General features: G+C 38.4%; 1 protein-coding gene across 9 annotated transcripts in view; it reads right to left on the minus strand.

Annotated features, from left to right (window-relative positions):
- Nucleotides 1-19,103, minus strand: part of FRK (fyn related Src family tyrosine kinase) — a 169,577-nt gene that overhangs the window by 11,512 nt on the left and 138,962 nt on the right. For all 9 annotated transcript variants that reach the window (XM_011535656.3, XM_011535655.3, XM_011535654.3 and 6 more), the window contains 3 exons: nucleotides 13,792-13,950; nucleotides 1,584-1,765; nucleotides 360-525 (listed from right to left, as the gene is read on the minus strand). In XM_011535656.3, coding sequence (XP_011533958.1) covers nucleotides 360-525; nucleotides 1,584-1,765; nucleotides 13,792-13,950 — 507 coding nt within the window. The remainder of the gene's footprint in view (nucleotides 1-359; nucleotides 526-1,583; nucleotides 1,766-13,791; nucleotides 13,951-19,103) is intronic.

Raw genomic sequence — 19,103 nt, forward strand, 5'->3', positions numbered from 1 at the left:
AAAACAAGTTAAAGGTCAGAGTCTTAAACTTATAGCCATTTATACTCTAGGTTACTAAGTAAGTCAATTTCTTTGGCAAAGATTTAAGGTCTGCCATCCCCTTCTCAGGTTACACAGATTAAACTAAATCCTGCAGCAAGTGATGTCTATAAGACTGCAATTCACTAGCAAAGGAGAGGGAAGCAATAAACCACCTCATTAATGCAAATTATCATCATCAAATTTTATCTATCAAGCTCCCGCAGGTATGGTATGGTCAGCCTCATAACTCTGCCCTCTAAGTCTGGGCAAAGCAGTTAAAATCACACCTAAGTAAGTGACATGCAGCAGAAAGGTCCACTTCAGAATTAATTACTCACCACTGTAAGGCATTTTGCCATAAGTAATGATTTCATAAAGAAGGATTCCAAATGACCATACATCGGACTTAATGCTGAATTTATTACTACGAATGGCTTCGGGCGCAGTCCACTTCACCGGCAGCTTTATTTCGTGTCTAGATTCATAGATGTCTTCATTATCTACCTGTTCATGTATTAAGGAATCAGGCCGAGTTAAAGCAATTTTTTTTTTTTTGCTAACCTCATTCATCTATAATCTGCTTCACTTCAAAATTTAGAGAGAAAAGATTCAAAATGAGCTTAGTTCAACTGACAATTACAGTAGCAAATTCTGAATCTTGCATACAAGACTGAAAAATATGTGGGAAGTCATTAATAAAATATTATTTAAGAGCCTACTATGTGCCAAGAATAGCACTGAAAGAAACATTCTACTACATTTGGAGAATTAATACATGATGATTCTGGCTTCACATCTGGTCTTGAGCAAAAAAAAAAAAAAAAAAAGGAAGCAAAGTCTATTGTTTGATTTACTGATGATATTGAAAAGCCACTGACTTTGATAATTACCATGTAACCACTTGCTAATAATGAAAAGTAGGATCCAAGTGTTTTAAATTAATATATAAACTCACTGGGGTACTAATTAATTTACAAAAAGAAAAAAATGATGAATTCATGAAGATTAAAAGGGAATCATTTATTTGTTGTTTTATGCCCTATGTCCATATTTTTAGGGTACAATGTGGAAATGTAAAATTAATTTAAGAGAAAAGCACCTAATATTATATCTCCTATATAGTATCTTTCAGACTGAGGTAAAAATGGGGAAATCAAAAAGCCAATGATTGCTGAAGAATTCTGGCAGCATGCAAATTAATCTGGCATACAGTGAGTAATAGTGGTTTAGGTTAACACTGCACAAAGTGTACTGCTTTTGTAAAGGAAATAGAGGCAAACAGAGGTGACTGGTACTAACTGAAAAATAGATCATTAATTCAACTATAAACTTAAGTACATACTTTCCAATCTGGTTGGTCATTGTTTTCTTTATTTTGTTTCTCCTTGATTAAGAAATAGGAAGGTGCAGGTAGTTTGTAAGGCTTTGGACTACTGAAGTAGTTTATGGACTACAGAACTTGGAGAAACATTGTTTTAAAGAATAACAGTATATCTATTGGTCTACTAACTGTTAGACTTTTGACCTATTACAAAAACTAATTAAAACAAAACTAAATCCACCTTAAAAACTCTGGCAAGTCCAAAATCTGCTACTTTGTAGATATTATGTTCACCAACGAGGACATTTCTGGCAGCCAGATCTCTGTGAATGTAGTTCCGAGACTCCAGATAGGCCATTCCAGAGGCAACCTGTGCCGCCATGTCTACCTGTTGAGTCAGATGGATTTTTGATCCAGTGTCATCTAAGTAATAAGAGAAAAGTAAGAAAGTTACCTTAGAGAACATTTGAACTATGAAAGTGAATTCTGAGAATTTTGAATGTATGAGCTATCAGTGAGATTAAGTACAATGGCACTGATCTGTTGAGCAAAATATATATATTTATCATTAATACAACTTAATTTGCTGTGAAAGGTTAATAAGGCAAGGCCCTCTCTTCCTTGAATGAGTATTACAAGTAACAAGTCATCACATGATCCAAACGTGGCTGCAATTATCTGAGAGTCTGGCTATTCTGCCTTTTTTCTTTTTTAAAAAATTTATTTATCTTTTATTTTAAGTTCAGGGGTACATTTCCAGGTTTGTTATATAGGTAAACTTGTGTCATGGGGGGGTTATTGCACAGATTATTTCATCACCTAGGTATTAAGCCTAGTACCCATTAGTTATTTTTCCTGATCCTTTCCTTCCTCCCTACCTTCACCCTCTCATAGGACCCAGTATATGTTGTTCCCCTCTATGTGGGTGAACATAGCTCCCACTTATAAGTGAGAACATGTGGTATTTGCTTTTCTGTTCCTGCATTAGTTTGCTAAGGATAATGGCCTCCAGCTCCATCCATGTTGCTGCAAAGGACATGATTTCATTTTTTATGGCTGCATAGTATTCCATGGTGTATACATACCACATTTTCTTTATCCATTCTACCATTGATGGGCATTTAGGTTAATTCCATGTCTTTGCTATTGTGAATGGTGCTGCAAGAAACATACATGTGCATGTGTCTTTATAATAAAATAATTTATATTCCTTTGGTTATATATCCAGTAATGGGATTGCTGGTCAAATGGTAGGTCTGTTTTGAGATATTTGAGGAATGGCTGCACTGTCTTCCACAATGGTTGAACTAATGTACACTCCTACGAACAGTGTACAAGTGTTCCTTTCTCTCCACAACCTTGCCAGCATCTGTTATTTTTTTACTTTTTAATAATGGCCATTCTGGCTGGTGAGAGATGGTATCTCATTGTGGTTTTGATTTGCATTTGTCTACTGATAAGTGCTGTTGAGCTTTTTGTTCACATGATTTCAATACCACATGTCACTGACTAATTTCTTCATGGAAATTATTACTCAACTGCTACTGAATTTCTTTCAAGCACTGCATAATTTGTTTTAGTCATTGAGCCTATAAAACAATACTAACTTTTATGGCTGAGCCAATGAAAAATTCTCATTCTTCCATCATGTTGTTTTTAAAAACTAGCCCACTAACACAAATGAAAGGTCTATCCATAGTTATAAAGTATGAATATTACATTTGTACCACCAAGCTTGATACATTATTTTATTTCTCTGCCTTAGTCTGTTATTCTTAGAATAGGTTGCTCATCTCTCCAGACATGCACATACCTTCAATAGGCAAAGTTTCTCCCACTACTAATTCTTTATAACTAAGTATAAAAAATTTATATAGTACAATCAGTTTGATTGTTGTTAGTAGAGGGGGGTCAGCATTATTTTGTGGTGACTGACTCATTTGTATTTGTATTTGACTTACCTATTTTATATTTGTACACAAAATAATACTGACTCCTTCTACTTTGAAATGGGGTGAGTCATCCCTGGATAGGATTTAGCTGCCATACTGTTGACAGATGTTTTTAGATGTCTGGAGAATTAAAAGAATCTCACATCAACTCAAACTAATATTACTCTTATATATCCCCGTCTCAATAAGCTGAATACTACATAAATTCCATTAGACTCATGGTCAAAAGCTTAGACACAAGCCCTGACTTGAGAGGCAGCTATATACATTACAGGGGCCAGGAAACCTGGTTTGAAGCTAGAGGGCCAGACTTTAAATCAAGGATATGCCTGATATTTCTTTGTGACCTTGGGCAAGCAGCTTAACATTCCTATGCCTCAGTTTCCTCATCTGTACAATGATAATAGTAACTACTTTATGGTATTCGTTGTTAAAATGAGAATTAAAATGAATTAATTCATGTAAAGCACTTAAAGCAGTGCCTGGCACCTAGAAAGAACTCAATAAATCCTATCTATTATTATCATTGCTCCTATCTAATCAAGATAAAACATGGAACTTGCTAAGCTAGAGATACACATGAATTACCTATGTGGAAATGACTGAAGGAAGACAAGCTATGGGTCTGGAACTCAGGGGAGAATATGCAGCAAGAGATATAGATTTAACGATCATAAGTTACAAGTGGGAGTTAAAACAGTAAAAGTGGGTGAGATTGCTAGGAAATGACAGAGAAACACCAATATTGAGGGTGGGCAGAGGAAGATAAACCTACAAGAAAACCGTGAAGAATCAGCCAGAAGAATATGAGAAGAAAACCACTGGAGAAACTTGTAACAAGTCAAAGGTTTTGAGAAACAGAAAATGCCATCATAGTCAAATTCTACAAGTAAGTCCATGAAGAAAAGGACTAAGACATTTGTCGAATATAATAAGGGAGTCCCTGGTGATTTTGGGGATAGGAAGAGCAGTTTGACTGGAGATCAGGTATAAGGATTTGAGGGCTAAATATGAGTGGAGGGCATGGGGACAGAAGGAGGTGGTGGCAAATTCCAAAATCCTAATCAAGAAGGAAGACAAGAAGGTTCTGGTAGAGGTAAACATAAAGTAATGGGAAAGCAGTTATCATAAAATTTGGGATAGTGTGGGGTTGTAATTGACAAAGTATTCAGGGGGTTTCTAGGGTGCTGGCCACATTCTAATGCTTGATCTGGGCAGTGACTGAATGGTTGCTTATTTGTTTGCTTTATAATTACATGTTAAACAATATTGTATAATTATGTGTTTTCTATATATATGATATTTTTAATAAAAAATGAAATAAATAGAGTCAAAAGAATTTTTTAAGGGAAAGACTTAAACAGTGTGTGTGTGTGTGTGTGTGTGTGTGTGTGTGTGTACACATATATATTTACTTTTTTAAGGCAAGTAGCATATCTCAATAAGATGTGAGGTGAAATTAACTCCTTGCCAATCCTTTTGTCCTTTCTTTTTTCCCTGAGCACGCACAGAAGATTACATTTTCCATCTTCCCTTAGAGTTGAGCCCTGTCACTAGTTCTGGGCAATGCAATGTGTGCAAAAACGATGAACATCACTTACAAGCCTGGCTCTTAAAATCTCCCACATCTTTATGGCTAGAGGGATGCATTTCAAAATGGTAGAGCCACATGAGTCTAAATCCCTGTATTACCCTTTAGAGAAAGCCACCTAGCAGAGCAGTCTGGCCCATATCAAAAAAAAAGTCTATTGTTTTGTATTAAGTCATAGAGAGTTTTGAATTCTATATTATAGCAGCTGACATTATTCAGTCTAAAACAAGATGTAAGCATGAAAATAAATAGTATGCAGCATAATGGCAAAACATTGCTGCTATGATAGCCAAAATAGCTAGGCCTTTTGATATCAAATTCACTCAATAAGAAAGGAAATGTATGGAAATTAAGACAAGGTGGTTACTAACCGTGAGCTATGTGGTATCTTCTAAAATGGCTCCCAGTTACCAGTACCTCCTGATATTCAAGCCCTTGTGAAAGCCTCTTCTACTAATTGTGGCCTGGACCTAGTGACTCATGTTTAACAACAGAATATGGCAGAAGTAGGTGGGATATCACTTCCAAGATTAAATTATAAGAGGCTGTGACTTTGCCTTACAGATAATCTCCACCCTGTTGTTCTCTCGCTTGCTCACTCTAATAAAGCAAGCTGCTATGTTGCAAGCTGCCCAGTGGAAAGGTCCCTCTAGCAAGGAGCAAAGGGCATCTTGCAGCCAACAACCAGAAAGGAACTGATTTCCTCAGTCCAACAGCCCAGGAGGAAGCGACACCTGCCAGGAGTCAAATGAGTGAGTTTAAAAGTGGATCTACCTCCATCAGAGCCTTCAGATGACTGGGTACTTGCCAACACCCTGACTGCAGCCTTATAAGAGGACCTGAACCAGGAGACCCAGCTAAGCTACACCTGGATTCCTAACCACAGAAACTGTGAGATAATAAACATTTGCTGCTTTAAGCCACTAAGTTTTACAAGTTTCTCCAGTGGTTTTCTTCTCATATTCTTCTGGCTGATTCTTCAGTTTTCTTGTAGGTTTATCTTCCTCTGCCCACCCTCAATATTGGTGTTTCTCTGTCATTTCCTAGCAATCTCACCCACTTTTACTGTTTTAACTCCCACTTATAACTTATGATTGTTAAATCTATATCTCTTGCTGCATATTCTCCCCTGAGTTCCAGACCCATAGCTTGTCTTCCTTCAGTCGTTTCCACGTAGGTAATTCATATGTATCTCTAGCTTAGCAAGTTCCATGTTTTATCTTGATTAGATAGGAGCAATGATAATCTTTTAATCTTTTGTGCAGCAATAGAAAACTAATACAGATTGATGTTAGGAAGATAACATCAGTGCTATGAATATAGTTAAAAACATGAACTATGAAGCCAAACTTCTGCCTTGGATGAGTTACCTAATCTCTACATACCTGTTTCTTCAACTGTGAAGTAGGACTAATAATACTTACCTCATAATGTGGTTAGAAAAATGAAGGAAGTTTCCTTGTAAGTTGTATTCCTAGGTATTTTATTCACTTTGTAGCAACTGCAAAAGGGAGTTTGCTCATGATTTGGCTCTCTGTTTTTCTATTATTGGTGTATAGGAATGCTTGTGATTTTTGCACATTGATTTTGTATCCTGAAACTTTGCTGAAGTTGTTTATCAGCTTAAGGAGTTTTTGGGCTGAGACAATGGGGTTTTCTAAATATACAATCATGTCATCTACAAATAGCGATAATATGACTTCCTCTCTTCCTATTTGAATACCTTTATTTCTTTCTCTTGCCTGATTGTCCTGGCCAGAACTTCCAATACTATGTGGAATAGGAGTGGTGAGAGAGGGCATCCTTGTCTTGTGCCAGTTTTCAAAGGGAATGCTTCCAGCTTTTGTCCAGTCAGTATGATATTGGCTGTGGGTTTTTCATAAATAGCTTTTTTTATTTTGACATATGTTCTGTCCATACCTAGTTTACTGAGTGTTAAGGACCTCTTTAAAGAGAACTACAAACCACTGCTCAAGGAAATAAGAGAGGACACAGACAAATGGAAAAATATTCCATGCTCACAGATAGAAAGAATCAATATTGTGAAAATGGCCATACTGCCCAAAGTAATTTAAAGATTCAATGCTATTCTCATCAAGCTACCACTGACTTTCTTCATGATTCAGAAAAAACTTCTTTAAATTTCATATGGAACCAAAAAAGAGCCCGTATAGCCAAGACAATCCTAAGCAAAAATAACAAAGCTGGAGGCATCATGCTACCTGACTTCAAACTATACTACAATGCTACAGTAAACAAAACAGCATGGTAGTGGTACCAAAACAGATATCTAGACCAACGGAACAGAACAGAGGCCTCAGAAATAACACCACACATCTACAACCATCTGATCTTTGACAAACCTTACAAAAACAACCAATGGGGAAAGGATTCCCTATTAAATAAATGTTGTTGGGAAAACTGGCTAGCCATATGCAGAAAACTGAAATGGGACCCCTTCCTTACACCTTGTACAAAAATTAACTCAAGACGGATTAAAGATTTAAACATAAGAACTAAAACCATAAAAACCCTAGAAGAAAACCTAGGCAATACCATTCAGGACATAGGCATGGGCAAAGACTTCATGACTAAAACACCAAAAGCAATGGCAACAAAAGCCCAAATTGAGAAATGGGATCTAATTAAACAAAAGAGCTCCTGCACAGCAAAAGAAACCATCATCAGAGTGAACAGGGAACATTCAGAATGGGAGAAAATTTTTGCAATCTATCCATCTGACAAAGGGCTAATACCAAGAATCTACAGGGAACTTAAACAAATTTACAAGAAATAAAAACCATCAAAAAGTGGGCAAAGGATATGAACAGACACTTTTCAAAAGAAGACATTCATGCAGTCAACAAATATATGAAAAAAAGCTCATCATCACTAGAGAAATCCAAACCAAAACCACAATGAGATAGCATGTCATGTCAGTTAGAATGGGATCATTAAAAAGTCAGGAAACAACAGATGCTGGAGAGGATGTGGAGAAAGAGGAATGCTTTTACACTGTTGGTGGGAGTGTAAATTAGTTCAACCATTGTGGAGGACAGTGTGGCGATTCCTCAAGGATCTAGAACTAGAAAATACCATTTGACCCAGCAATCCCATTGCTGGGTATATACCCAAAGGATTATAAATCATTCTACTATAAAGACACATGCACATGCATGTTTATTGTGGCACTATTCACAATAGCAAAGACTTGGAACCAACCCAGATGCCCATCAATGTTGGACTGGATAAAGAAAATGTGGCACATATACACCATGGAACACTATGCAGCCATAAAAAGGAATGAGTTCATGTCCTTTGCAGGAACATGGATGAAGCTGGAAACCATCATTCTCAGCAAACTAACACAAGAACAGAAAACCAAACACTGCATGTTCTCACTCATAAGTGAGAGTTGAACAGTAAGAACACATGGGCACAGGGAGGGGAACATCACACACCAGGGCCTGTCAGGGGGTGTTGAGCAAAGGGAGGGACAGCATTAGGAGAAATACCTAATGTAGATGACAGGTTGATGGGAGCAGCAAAGCACCATTGCATGTGTATACCTATGTAACAGAACTGCATGTTCTACACCTGTATCCCAGAATTTAAGTATAATCTTAAAAAATAAAAAAAATTGAAAACAAAATGAATGAAGTTAATATTTATAAAAGACTTAGAAATTGCCTGTCACAAGGTACTACAGTGTTTTTTAAAGAAAAAAAGTATATACATGATCCTCTCCTATCACTACCTCATATAGTTTATTTCCAGTCAATCACCTAATTTAATACTCTGAACAACTATATGAAGTAAGTATTGCAATTATTCTTCCCCATTTCATAGGAATTCCTTTTACTCAAAGGAATAGGTAACAAGTTGTGTGACCTATAATAGATGTTCTATAAGTATTTACTGGGGGAAAAACAAGCCAAACTAAACTTTTTAAAAATGGAGATATTTATCCTCTTTAAATTGTAATAAGATCTATCTGTCATTAATTACCCTCAATACTAAAGTTTTTTTACAGATCTTTCTCATTTTGGAGAAATGTATTACAAAAATTATCCAGCTAAGCTGAGAAACTACAAAAAAGGTTATATAGAAAAAATATGTATGTTATTTCAACTATCACATATGACATCTAATCCTATTACAATGGATAGAAAAAGGTTTGCACTGACAGGCATAATACTGGAGGAAATTGAGTGACACACATTTCCTACTTTGAAGGGTGCAGTAGCCTCAGTACTGCCTAAGTAAACATCAACACATACTTTTAATACAACCAACAGAGGTCAAAACTGATGTAAAAGTTCACAAACCTATGATGATTTACATTTGCAGTAAGAAAATATTTTCAATTATATTCCATTACTCAAGAATCTTGAGTAATGTTTTACTCAAGGTTTTTTGGCTGCATAAATGTCTTCTTTTGAGAAGTGTCTGTTCATGTCCTTCGCCCACTTTTTGGTGGGGTTGTTTGTTTTTTTCTTGTAAATTTGTTTGAGTTCATTATAGATTCTGGATATTAGCCCTTTGTCAGATGAGTAGGTTGCGAAAATTTTCTCCCATTTTGTAGGTTGCTTGTTCACTCTGATGGTAGTTTCTTTTGCTATGCAGAAGCTCTTTAGTTTAATTAGATCCCATTTGTCAATTTTGTCTTTTGTTGCCATTGCTTTTGGTGTTTTAGACATGTTGCCCATGCCTATGTCCTGAATGGTAATGCCTAGGTTTTCTTCCAGGGTTTTTATGGTTTTAGGTCTAAAAAAATGCGCACCATCACTGGCCATCAGAGAAATGCAAATCAAAACCACAATGAAATACCATCTCACACCAGTTAGAATGGCAATCATTAAAAAGTCAGGAAACAACAGGTGCTGGAGAGGATGTGGAGAAATAGGAACACTTTTACACTCTTGGTGGGACTGTAAACTAGTTCAACCATTGTGGAAGTCAGTGTGGTGATTCCTCAGGGATCTAGAACTAGAAATACCATTTGACCCAGCCATCCCATTACTGGGTATATACCCAAAGGACTATAAATCATGCTGCTATAAAGACACATGCACATGTATGTTTATTGCGGCACTATTCACAATAGCAAAGACTTGGAACCAACCCAAATGTCCAACAATGATAGACTGGATTAAGAAAATGTGGCACATATACACCATGGAATACTATGCAGCCATAAAAAATGATGAGTTCATGTCCTTTGCAGGGACATGGATGAAATTAGAAATCATCATTCTCAGTAAACCATCGCAAGGACAAAAAACCAAACACCGCATGTTCTTACTCATAGGTGGGAATTGAACAATGAGAACACATGGACACAAGAAGGGGAACATCACACTCTGGGGACTGTGGTGGGGTGGGGGGAGGGGGGAGGGATAGCATTGGGAGATATACCTAACGCTAAATGACGAGTTAATGGATGCAGCACACCAGCATGGCACATGTATACATAAGTAACTAACCTGCACATTGTGCACATGTACCCTAAAACTTAAAGTATAATAATAATAAAATAAAAAATTTTTTAAAAAAAGAAAAAAAAAGAATCTTTCATCTTAATAATATTTATCATGATGGGCTACTTAAGAGTGGTACATCCATTTTAAGGCCATTTTTTTTTTTTTTTTTTTTTTTTTTTGAGACGGAGTCTCGCTCTGTCGCCCAGGCTGGAGTGCAGTGGCGGGATCTCGGCTCACTGCAAGCTCCGCCTCCTGGGTTCACGCCATTCTCCTGCCTCAGCCTCCCAAGTAGCTGGGACTACAGGCGCCCGCCACTACGCCCGGCTAATTTTTTGTATTTTTAGTAGAGACGGGGTTTCACCGTTTTAGCCGGGATGGTCTCGATCTCCTGACCTCGTGATCCGCCCGCCTCGGCCTCCCAAAGTGCTGGGATTACAGGCGTGAGCCACCGCGCCCGGCCCAAGGCCACTTTATTGAATGTGAACCCTCTTGACTGGGGAAGGGGCTATCTGCAGTGAGCATTTGTTCATTACTCCTCCTGGCTACTAATCATCATCCTCACAAATGAAGGCACCGATAAACTTGACCCTAATGGCCTAACCCTGAAGCTGATAGGGTTCATACTTAGCCCTAAGTAAACCACATCACCAAGCCACAAAAATCCTCAATGTCAAAGGTGTTAGCCATGTACCAAGTTGATCTTTTCAAGCTAATACCAAGAGTCTCAAAACAAGCTTGACTCCAAGTCCCAATCTTGTTAGGTTCAGGATGGTCCCAACTTAATCTATTTATTCAATACCTAATTAGCCCATACTTTCTTATGTGCCAGACACTGTTCTAACTCTGAAACAAAGAAAACACTATCTGCCTGTGTGGAGTTATATTCAGAGGATACTAAAAATAAGCCAAATAAATAAGATACACAGTATAAGATGCTTAACAGCCAAGAAGATAAAATAAAAAGCAAGGGAAGAGGAATACTTTAAGAGTCAGTAGAAAGAGATTAAATTTTAAAATTCAGAGGGTGACCAGTGAAACACTCACCAAGATGGAAACATGTAAGTAGAGATTTTGAGGAAATGAGAAGTGAGCATGTGGATAAATGTCAGAACAACAAAAAAATTCAGGCAGAGGAAATAACGAGTGAGGCAAAAGCATGCCTGGATGGTAGGACAAATAGTAAAGAGGGCTAGTGTGGCTGACGAAGACTGAGCAAGGAGAAGTTGTAGAAGATGAGATCCGAGAGGGAATAGAGAGCCAGGCCATGCAGGACTTCATGAGTTACACATGCTCTGATTTACATTTTAACTGTATCTCTCTAGCTGTTATGTTAAGAAGAAACTGAAGGAGACAAGAAGCAGAAGATGAAGACCAGCCGGGAGCTACTGCAGAATTCAGGTGGCAGCCTGGATCAGGGTAGGAGCATTGAGGAGAGGTAAAATCCTCTATATATTTTGAAGGCCAGCCAATGAGATTTTGCTAGCAGGTTAGAGATGGGACATGAAAAGTAGAGATGATGCCAAGGTATTAGGCCTGAGTTGCTATGGTCAAAGAAGGAAAGACTGCAAGAGTAGCAGATTACTGGGGAGAATACAGGGAGATCAGTTTGGGGCATGTCATCTTGAGATGTCTAATAGACATTTCTACTATAGTAGAAATTAGGGCTGTTCACAAACAATGATTTTTTTCCTCCTTTCAAGTACTTTAGAGAATTGTACTTCCCTATCCTCTTTGACTTGATTTGTCCAAATGGAAAGGGAACAGAATTACTTCTGTCACTTCTGGTCAGAAGCTTTAAGAATCAGGGTGAGATTAGTCTCATCCCCTTTCTCTGCCAGGGTGATCAAAAGAACTGAGCCACCAGCCAACCTATTTTGCAATGTAGCATGGATAAGAAATAAACATGTGTGTTAAGCCCTCGAGGATTTGGAGACTGTTAGTTATTGCAGCATATTTACATTATGCAGACTGATACAAGATTCAAGTGGAGAAGTTAAGAAGGCAGTTGGGTATGATTCTCAAGTAAAGGGGGAATAAAATTTGGAGAATTGTCAGGACATAAAAAATTAAACAATGAGATTAGATGAAATTAATAAGGGAACTAGTGACGTTGTGAACAGTCTTGGAGAACTCCAAGATATTGAAGGGTCTGGGAATGAAGGAAATCCCATAGGTTGAAAAGAACCACCAAGAAAGGAAGGAGGAAATGCCATTGAGTGAAGTGTCCTGAAAGCCAAATGAAGGAAATGTTTCCAGGAAAAGAAAGCATCTATTGAATTAAATGCTGTCGATAGATCTGAGGATGGGGAATAGGCCATTAGATGTAATTATGTGAATATTATTAAGGACCTTTATAAAGCATTTTTTGTTAGCTATGACCCAAGACCACTTCTGCACTTTGTCCTGGGAATAAGGCAAAAGGGGTTATTTAATAGCTGAGTTTAATCTTTCTATGGTGGGTAACATATTCTGATGATGTTAAATTCAATATTTTTCTGCAAGGAAGCTGAGTATATTTCTGTTTTTAACAGCATTCAACAGGCCTTATTATGTTCTTTGTTATTCTTATCTTGTTTTGTAGCTTAATGTTACCAGCTTCATAAGTCATCCTGAAATCAGAGGATATTCTTATCTTTCTGAAATCTTTGTTTCATCATTCTCACCTCCCTTTACCTCTAAACATTCTATCATTCCACCCTGACATTTCAAGAAATTATGGAAGTCTCCTTTTCAAGCTCGAATTATTGTCAATACTTGATCTCACCTTCTTTGAACATCTCATTTTAATGCTCATTATACTGTATTGTTGTTTACTAAATTATCCATTTGTAATAAACATCAAAATTTCATAATGCCCTTCAGTCTTCTCTGACTACAGGAAGCAAACAGAGAAATAAAGTAATAGCATATTTCTGCTTTTTTGTCTGACAATTCTTATGTTGCCTAGCAGTGGAAGTATTTTAAACAGCAACAAGTACAATGTTGTCAAATACCAGCAAATAAAATAAACATAGGATACTTCCCTCCCTTTTTCCCCAAATGTATTCCATGTCCCCGAATTCTATGTGCCATAGAAAATATTGGTCCATAACTGATAATGTTCAATTAGTGTAGGAAATAAAGCATCATGCAAAGCATCATGCTAAACATCCATTCTTTAATTTCCCACGTTACATTCAATTACCCTAATATATCTGTTGTGAATAATTTTCTCTTCCACTGCATAAATATTTTCCACCTTTTGAATATACAATATATAACCTATTAAATAGTAGTTGAGCCATTCAGTGTTAAGACATTCATTCTCACAGACATACACATAGTAAATATCCTTTCGGTTACAGAAGGCTTGCTAAATTGACACTTATGGGACTAGCTAAATTAAATTCCTCTTTTTTTCCTTGTATTAAGTCTTTAGCTTACTTTGGAGATATTCTTGCAGACTTCCATGTCTCATCAACTCTGTAATAATATAAATTGGATCTTCTAAAGTGCAAACAGCATAAAGCTGGATAAGCTTTGGATGTCTTAGGTTCTTCATTATCTGTGCCTCCCTCAGGAAGTCATTTGGATCCATTGAACCTGAAACAAGAAGAGGGAGAAATCACTTTATGTTATTGAGGCATTCCTATCCTCACAGCAGCCTGGTGGGAATCATCAAGATTGCCTCCTGCTTCTCAGTAGAGTAAGAGCCTCAGTATCACAAATCTTCAGAGTTATCAAAAAGAGAATCAGTTCAGCCAGAGCAACCTAGTAACTGGATGTGTTGGTGCATCAGGAGTATACGGTTTATATGTTATGACCTGTAGGTGAAGAGAGGTTGATTCAGATCTACATGAAAAATGAAGGAAAAAGGAGAGACTGACAATCTAACTGATAAAACAAGGCATCTTAACACAAAAGGAAAACATTCTATGAACACGAGCGCTGAAGGTCACTGAATATTTAATTACTGCAACCAGAGACTGATACCTGCCCTGTCCTTGGTGCCCACTGTGGGAACAGCTGGACAAAAATCCTAAAACAGTGACATTCTGCCATACTTTTGTCTTTAATTCTGTAGGAACATAGTGTGTAGACCAAGTGGAAAACATCCAAGACCATCCCCAAAAGTTAATGGGGTTTTTTTCACATGTTTTATATGTTCAACTCGAAACTGATATTTAATATTTTCTCCTGTACTATCTGCTTCCACAGTCAGAGCCTTAATAGCATGGCCAAATGGAGGAGAGACAATATTAAGGCCTATTTAGAAGACTTGTCTGCAATTAAATCGTATTTTAATGGATCCACTCTGACTCATCATGCAAGGTGTCAAGTAGTTGACATCAAATAAAATCTAAGAGGAGGAAGATTATCTGGAGTTTACATTTCATCAGTAATTTTAAAATCTTTTCTTTTAGAATATGATGTTTCAGAGGCATTACTGTAATTAAAGGAATACTGTCATTTCACATCTTAGTATTCACTATGAATAATGCAAATATGGTTTCCATTGATGCTCAAAGAGACTACTACATTCATCATCCTCTCGATGTTGAAGACTTTACAACTGATATTTAAACCCAGACATGGATAAGCTTTGACATTCTAAGGCAAAACTATGACTTGTTTATTAATGTGAAGTTGAGTTAGTTACATGTGACCTGCACATCATTTCACATAAAACATTTGAGCAGTCTCCCCTTTGAGAACCCAGAAGTTCAGAACTGGACTAATCAGACTCTGCATTCTAGACAAATCTCAACTCTCTGCCACTAGTGCCCTGTGTGATCTTGAGCAAGTTATCAAACCTCTCTAAACTTCAGTTTCTTCATCTGTAAAACATGCCTAATAATTTACTGACATTGTAAGATCATTACCAAGATAATAGCAATGCCTGCACGTATGTATTCAATGACTGTTGATCATTATTTATATTATCATTGATATGCATAGTCTTGGAAAAACCAAACAGACCAGCTGTAAGTATATTTCACAGGCTAAGGAAGAAAAAGGACAAGGACTTAAAGAGAGAGAATAGGAGAAAATGGCCGATTCTCTTTTCCGTTACATGTTTCTGAGCTCCATCAATTCCATCTCTACCACTGGTTTACTCCACACAGTCAAATAGGATTAAAATTTGGAATCATAGTCACAAAATGGAGCTGAGAATAAGAGACACCTAAATCATAATAAGGGACTTTGTTCTTAATTGTTACAACTAGTTTGGCCTATGGTCAAATATAATATAGTGGGGAATCCCCCCACTACCACCCCCCCCAAAAAAGAAGCTTCCAATGATAGCAGTAATTATGATAACCATACAGAAAATTAGGCTGGGCATGGTGGCTCAAGCCTGTGATCCCAGAACTTTGGGAGGCCAAGGCAGGCGGATAACTTGAGGTCAGGAGTTAAGAGACCAGCCTGGCCAACATGGTGAAACCATGTCTCTACTAAAAATATAAAAATTAGCCAGGCATGGTGTCAGGTGCCTGTAATCCCAGCTACTCGGGAGGCTGAGGCAGAAGAATCACTTGAACCCAGGAGGTGGAGGTTACAGTGAGCTGAGATCACACCATTGCACTCCAGCCTGGGAAATAGAGTGAGACTCTGTCTCAAAAAAGGAAAGAAAGAAAAGAAAGAAAGAAAGAAAGAAAGAAAGAAAGAAAGAAAGAAAGAAAGAAAGAAAGAAAGAAGAAAGAAAGAAAGAAAGAAAGAAAGAAAGAAAGAAAGAAAGAAAGAAAGAAAGAAAGAAAGAGGGGGGGGAAGGAGAGAGAGAAAGAAAGAAAAAGAAAGAAAGAAAGAAAGAAAAAGAAAGAAAGAAAGAAAGAGAAAGGAAAAAGAAAATTATATATACAATATATATTTATGTTAATGAAATTTCTATGTTGTGTGGCTATCAGATTCAAGCAATACAGGACACTCAAACTCATTCCCAAATCAGACTATGCACAAGAACTGAAATCACAGTAGGTCAGAAGCCTCTGCAGGTGAAGACTGTTTCAGAGCACTCCTTCATGGCCATGCTGGTTATAGCTCCCCAGCTGCAGAGTAAAGGAAACCCAATCTCAACTCAGCTAGTAATGTAACATTAAATATTAATTTTTGCCTGTCAAAGCTACTGTGGGAGTTCATTTCAGGCTCATCTTTATTGCGTAGTAGCCTGCTCAGCAATAAATAGCCGCTCATATTGATTAATGGCCCCAGTGAAGTGAAGACATTTAACCAATCACTAAAGCTGTTTGTGGCTATTACACTGTAAATCAATAATAATTATTCCTGTTGGAGAGAAAACTATCGTGGTTTTTTTTTAACATGAGAAATCTGACTTTTTTGTTGTCTTTTGACTTCCCAAAGGGCTTCCTTAGAGAACAACGTTAGGAAGGCTAGCTAGCTGCCTCTTCTTAGAAAAGAATTATTAGATTGGACAATAAAGTTCAGCCACCATTTATTAACAAGATTAGGGTTTAAAAGCATATACACAGTGATTGTGAAAATCTCAGGTGCTAGAATAGAATGTCCTCACCTGGAGCACTCACATAGCATCTGGCCACTTTAAAGTGCCTGTCTCTTGCTTCATCTGCCAGATGAAAATGCTGAAACTGAATTCCTGCACTAGTAAATTTGCACTTCAGTGGACACATCTGTCAGCAGCCCCATGGAGGCTAACATTTATTAAGAACTTGCTGCATATACTTTACGTATATTGACTCCATTTGTCCTCATAAAACCCTAGAAATTAGGAACTATTATGATTCCCACTTCCAGATGAGAAGATTCCAAAAGGTTAAAAATTGTCTGAAGTCACAGAGGGCAGAGCCAGGTTTAAACACAGATTTATCTTATATCGAATTTGACACTATTCACTTGTTACACCAGAGGATCCCAGTGTTTTCAGTTCGTGGAACCCTTAGTGTCTCCATAACTTTTTTCATGATGTCTCTAAGTGAAAATAAAAAAAAAAACTAACAGTTATTTTGATTACTGGGTTAGATCCAAACAAGTTAAGAAGTATTTATCTAGGGGAGGAGCCAAGATGGCCGAATAGGAACAGCTCCTGTCTACAGCTCCCAGCGTGAGCGACGCAGAAGACGGGTGATTTCTGCATTTCCATCTGAGGTACCGGGTTCATCTCACTAGGGAGTGCCAGACAGTGGGCGCAGGCCAGTGTGTGCGCGCACCGTGCGCGAGCCGAAGCAGGGCGAGGCATTGCCTCACCTGGGAAGCGCAAGGGGTCAGGGAGTTCCCTTTCCGAGTCAAAGAAAGGGGTGACGGACGCACCTGGAAAATCGGGTCACTCCCACCCGAATATTGCGCTTTTCAGACCGGCTTAAAAAACGGCGCACCACTAGACTATATCCCACACCTGGCTCAGAGGGTCCTACGCCCACGGAATCTCGCTGATTGCTAGCACAGCAGTCTGAGATCAAACTGCAAGGCGGCAGCGAGGCTGGGGGAAGGGCGCCCGCCATTGCCCAGGCTTGCTTAGGTAAACAAAGCAGCCCGGAAGCTCGAACTGGGTGGAGCCCACCACAGCTCAAGGAGGCCTGCCTGCCTCTGTAGGCTCCACCTCTGGGGGCAGGGCACAGACAAACAAAAAGACAGCAGTAACCTCTGCAGACTTAAGTGTCCCTGTCTGACAGCTTTGAAGAGAGCAGTGGTTCTCCCAGCACGCAGCTGGAGATCTGAGAACGGGCAGACTGCCTCCTCAAGTGGGTCCCTGACCCCTGACCACCGAGCAGCCTAACTGGGAGGCACCCCCCAGCAGGGGCACACTGACACCTCACACGGCAGGGTATTCCAACAGACCTGCAGCTGAGGGTCCTGTCTGTTAGAAGGAAAACTAACAACCAGAAAGGACATCTACACCGAAAACCCATCTGTACATCACCATCATCAAAGACCAAAAGTAGATAAAACCACAAAGATGGGGAAAAAACAGAACAGAAAAACTGGAAACTCTAAAACGCAGAGCGCCTCTCCTCCTCCAAAGGAACGCAGTTCCTCACCAGCAACGGAACAAAGCTGGATGGAGAATGATTTTGACGAGCTGAGAGAAGAAGGCTTCAGACGATCAAATTACTCTGAGCTACGGGAGGACATTCAAACCAAAGGCAAAGAAGTTGAAAACTTTGAAAAAAATTTAGAAGAATGTATAACTAGAATAACCAATACAGAGAAGTGCTTAAAGGAGCTGATGGAGCTGAAAACCAAGGCTCGAGAACTACGTGAAGAATGCAGAAGCCTCAGAAGCCGATGCGATCAACTGGAAGAAAGGGTATCAGCAATGGAAGATGAAATGAATGAAATGAAGCAAGAAGGGAAGTTTAGAGAAAAAAGAATAAAAAGAAATGAGCAAAGCCTCCAAGAAATATGGGACTATGTGAAAAGACCAAATCTACGTCTGATTGGTGTACCTAAAAGTGATGTGGAGAATGGAACCAAGTTGGAAAACACTCTGCAGGATATTATCCAGGAGAACTTCCCCAATCTAGCAAGGCAGGCCAACGTTCAGATTCAGGAAATACAGAGAACGCCACAAAGATACTCCTCGAGAAGAGCAACTCCAAGACACATAATTGTCAGATTCACCAAAGTTGAAATGAAGGAAAAAATGTGAAGGGCAGCCAGAGAGAAAGGTCGGGTTACCCTCAAAGGAAAGCCCATCAGACTAACAGCGGATCTCTCGGCAGAAACCCTACAAGCCAGAAGAGACTGGGGGCCAATATTCAACATTCTTAAAGAAAAGAATT

This window comes from Homo sapiens, chromosome 6 (assembly GCF_000001405.40).
Source record: "Homo sapiens chromosome 6, GRCh38.p14 Primary Assembly".
Lineage (NCBI taxonomy): Eukaryota > Metazoa > Chordata > Mammalia > Primates > Hominidae > Homo > Homo sapiens.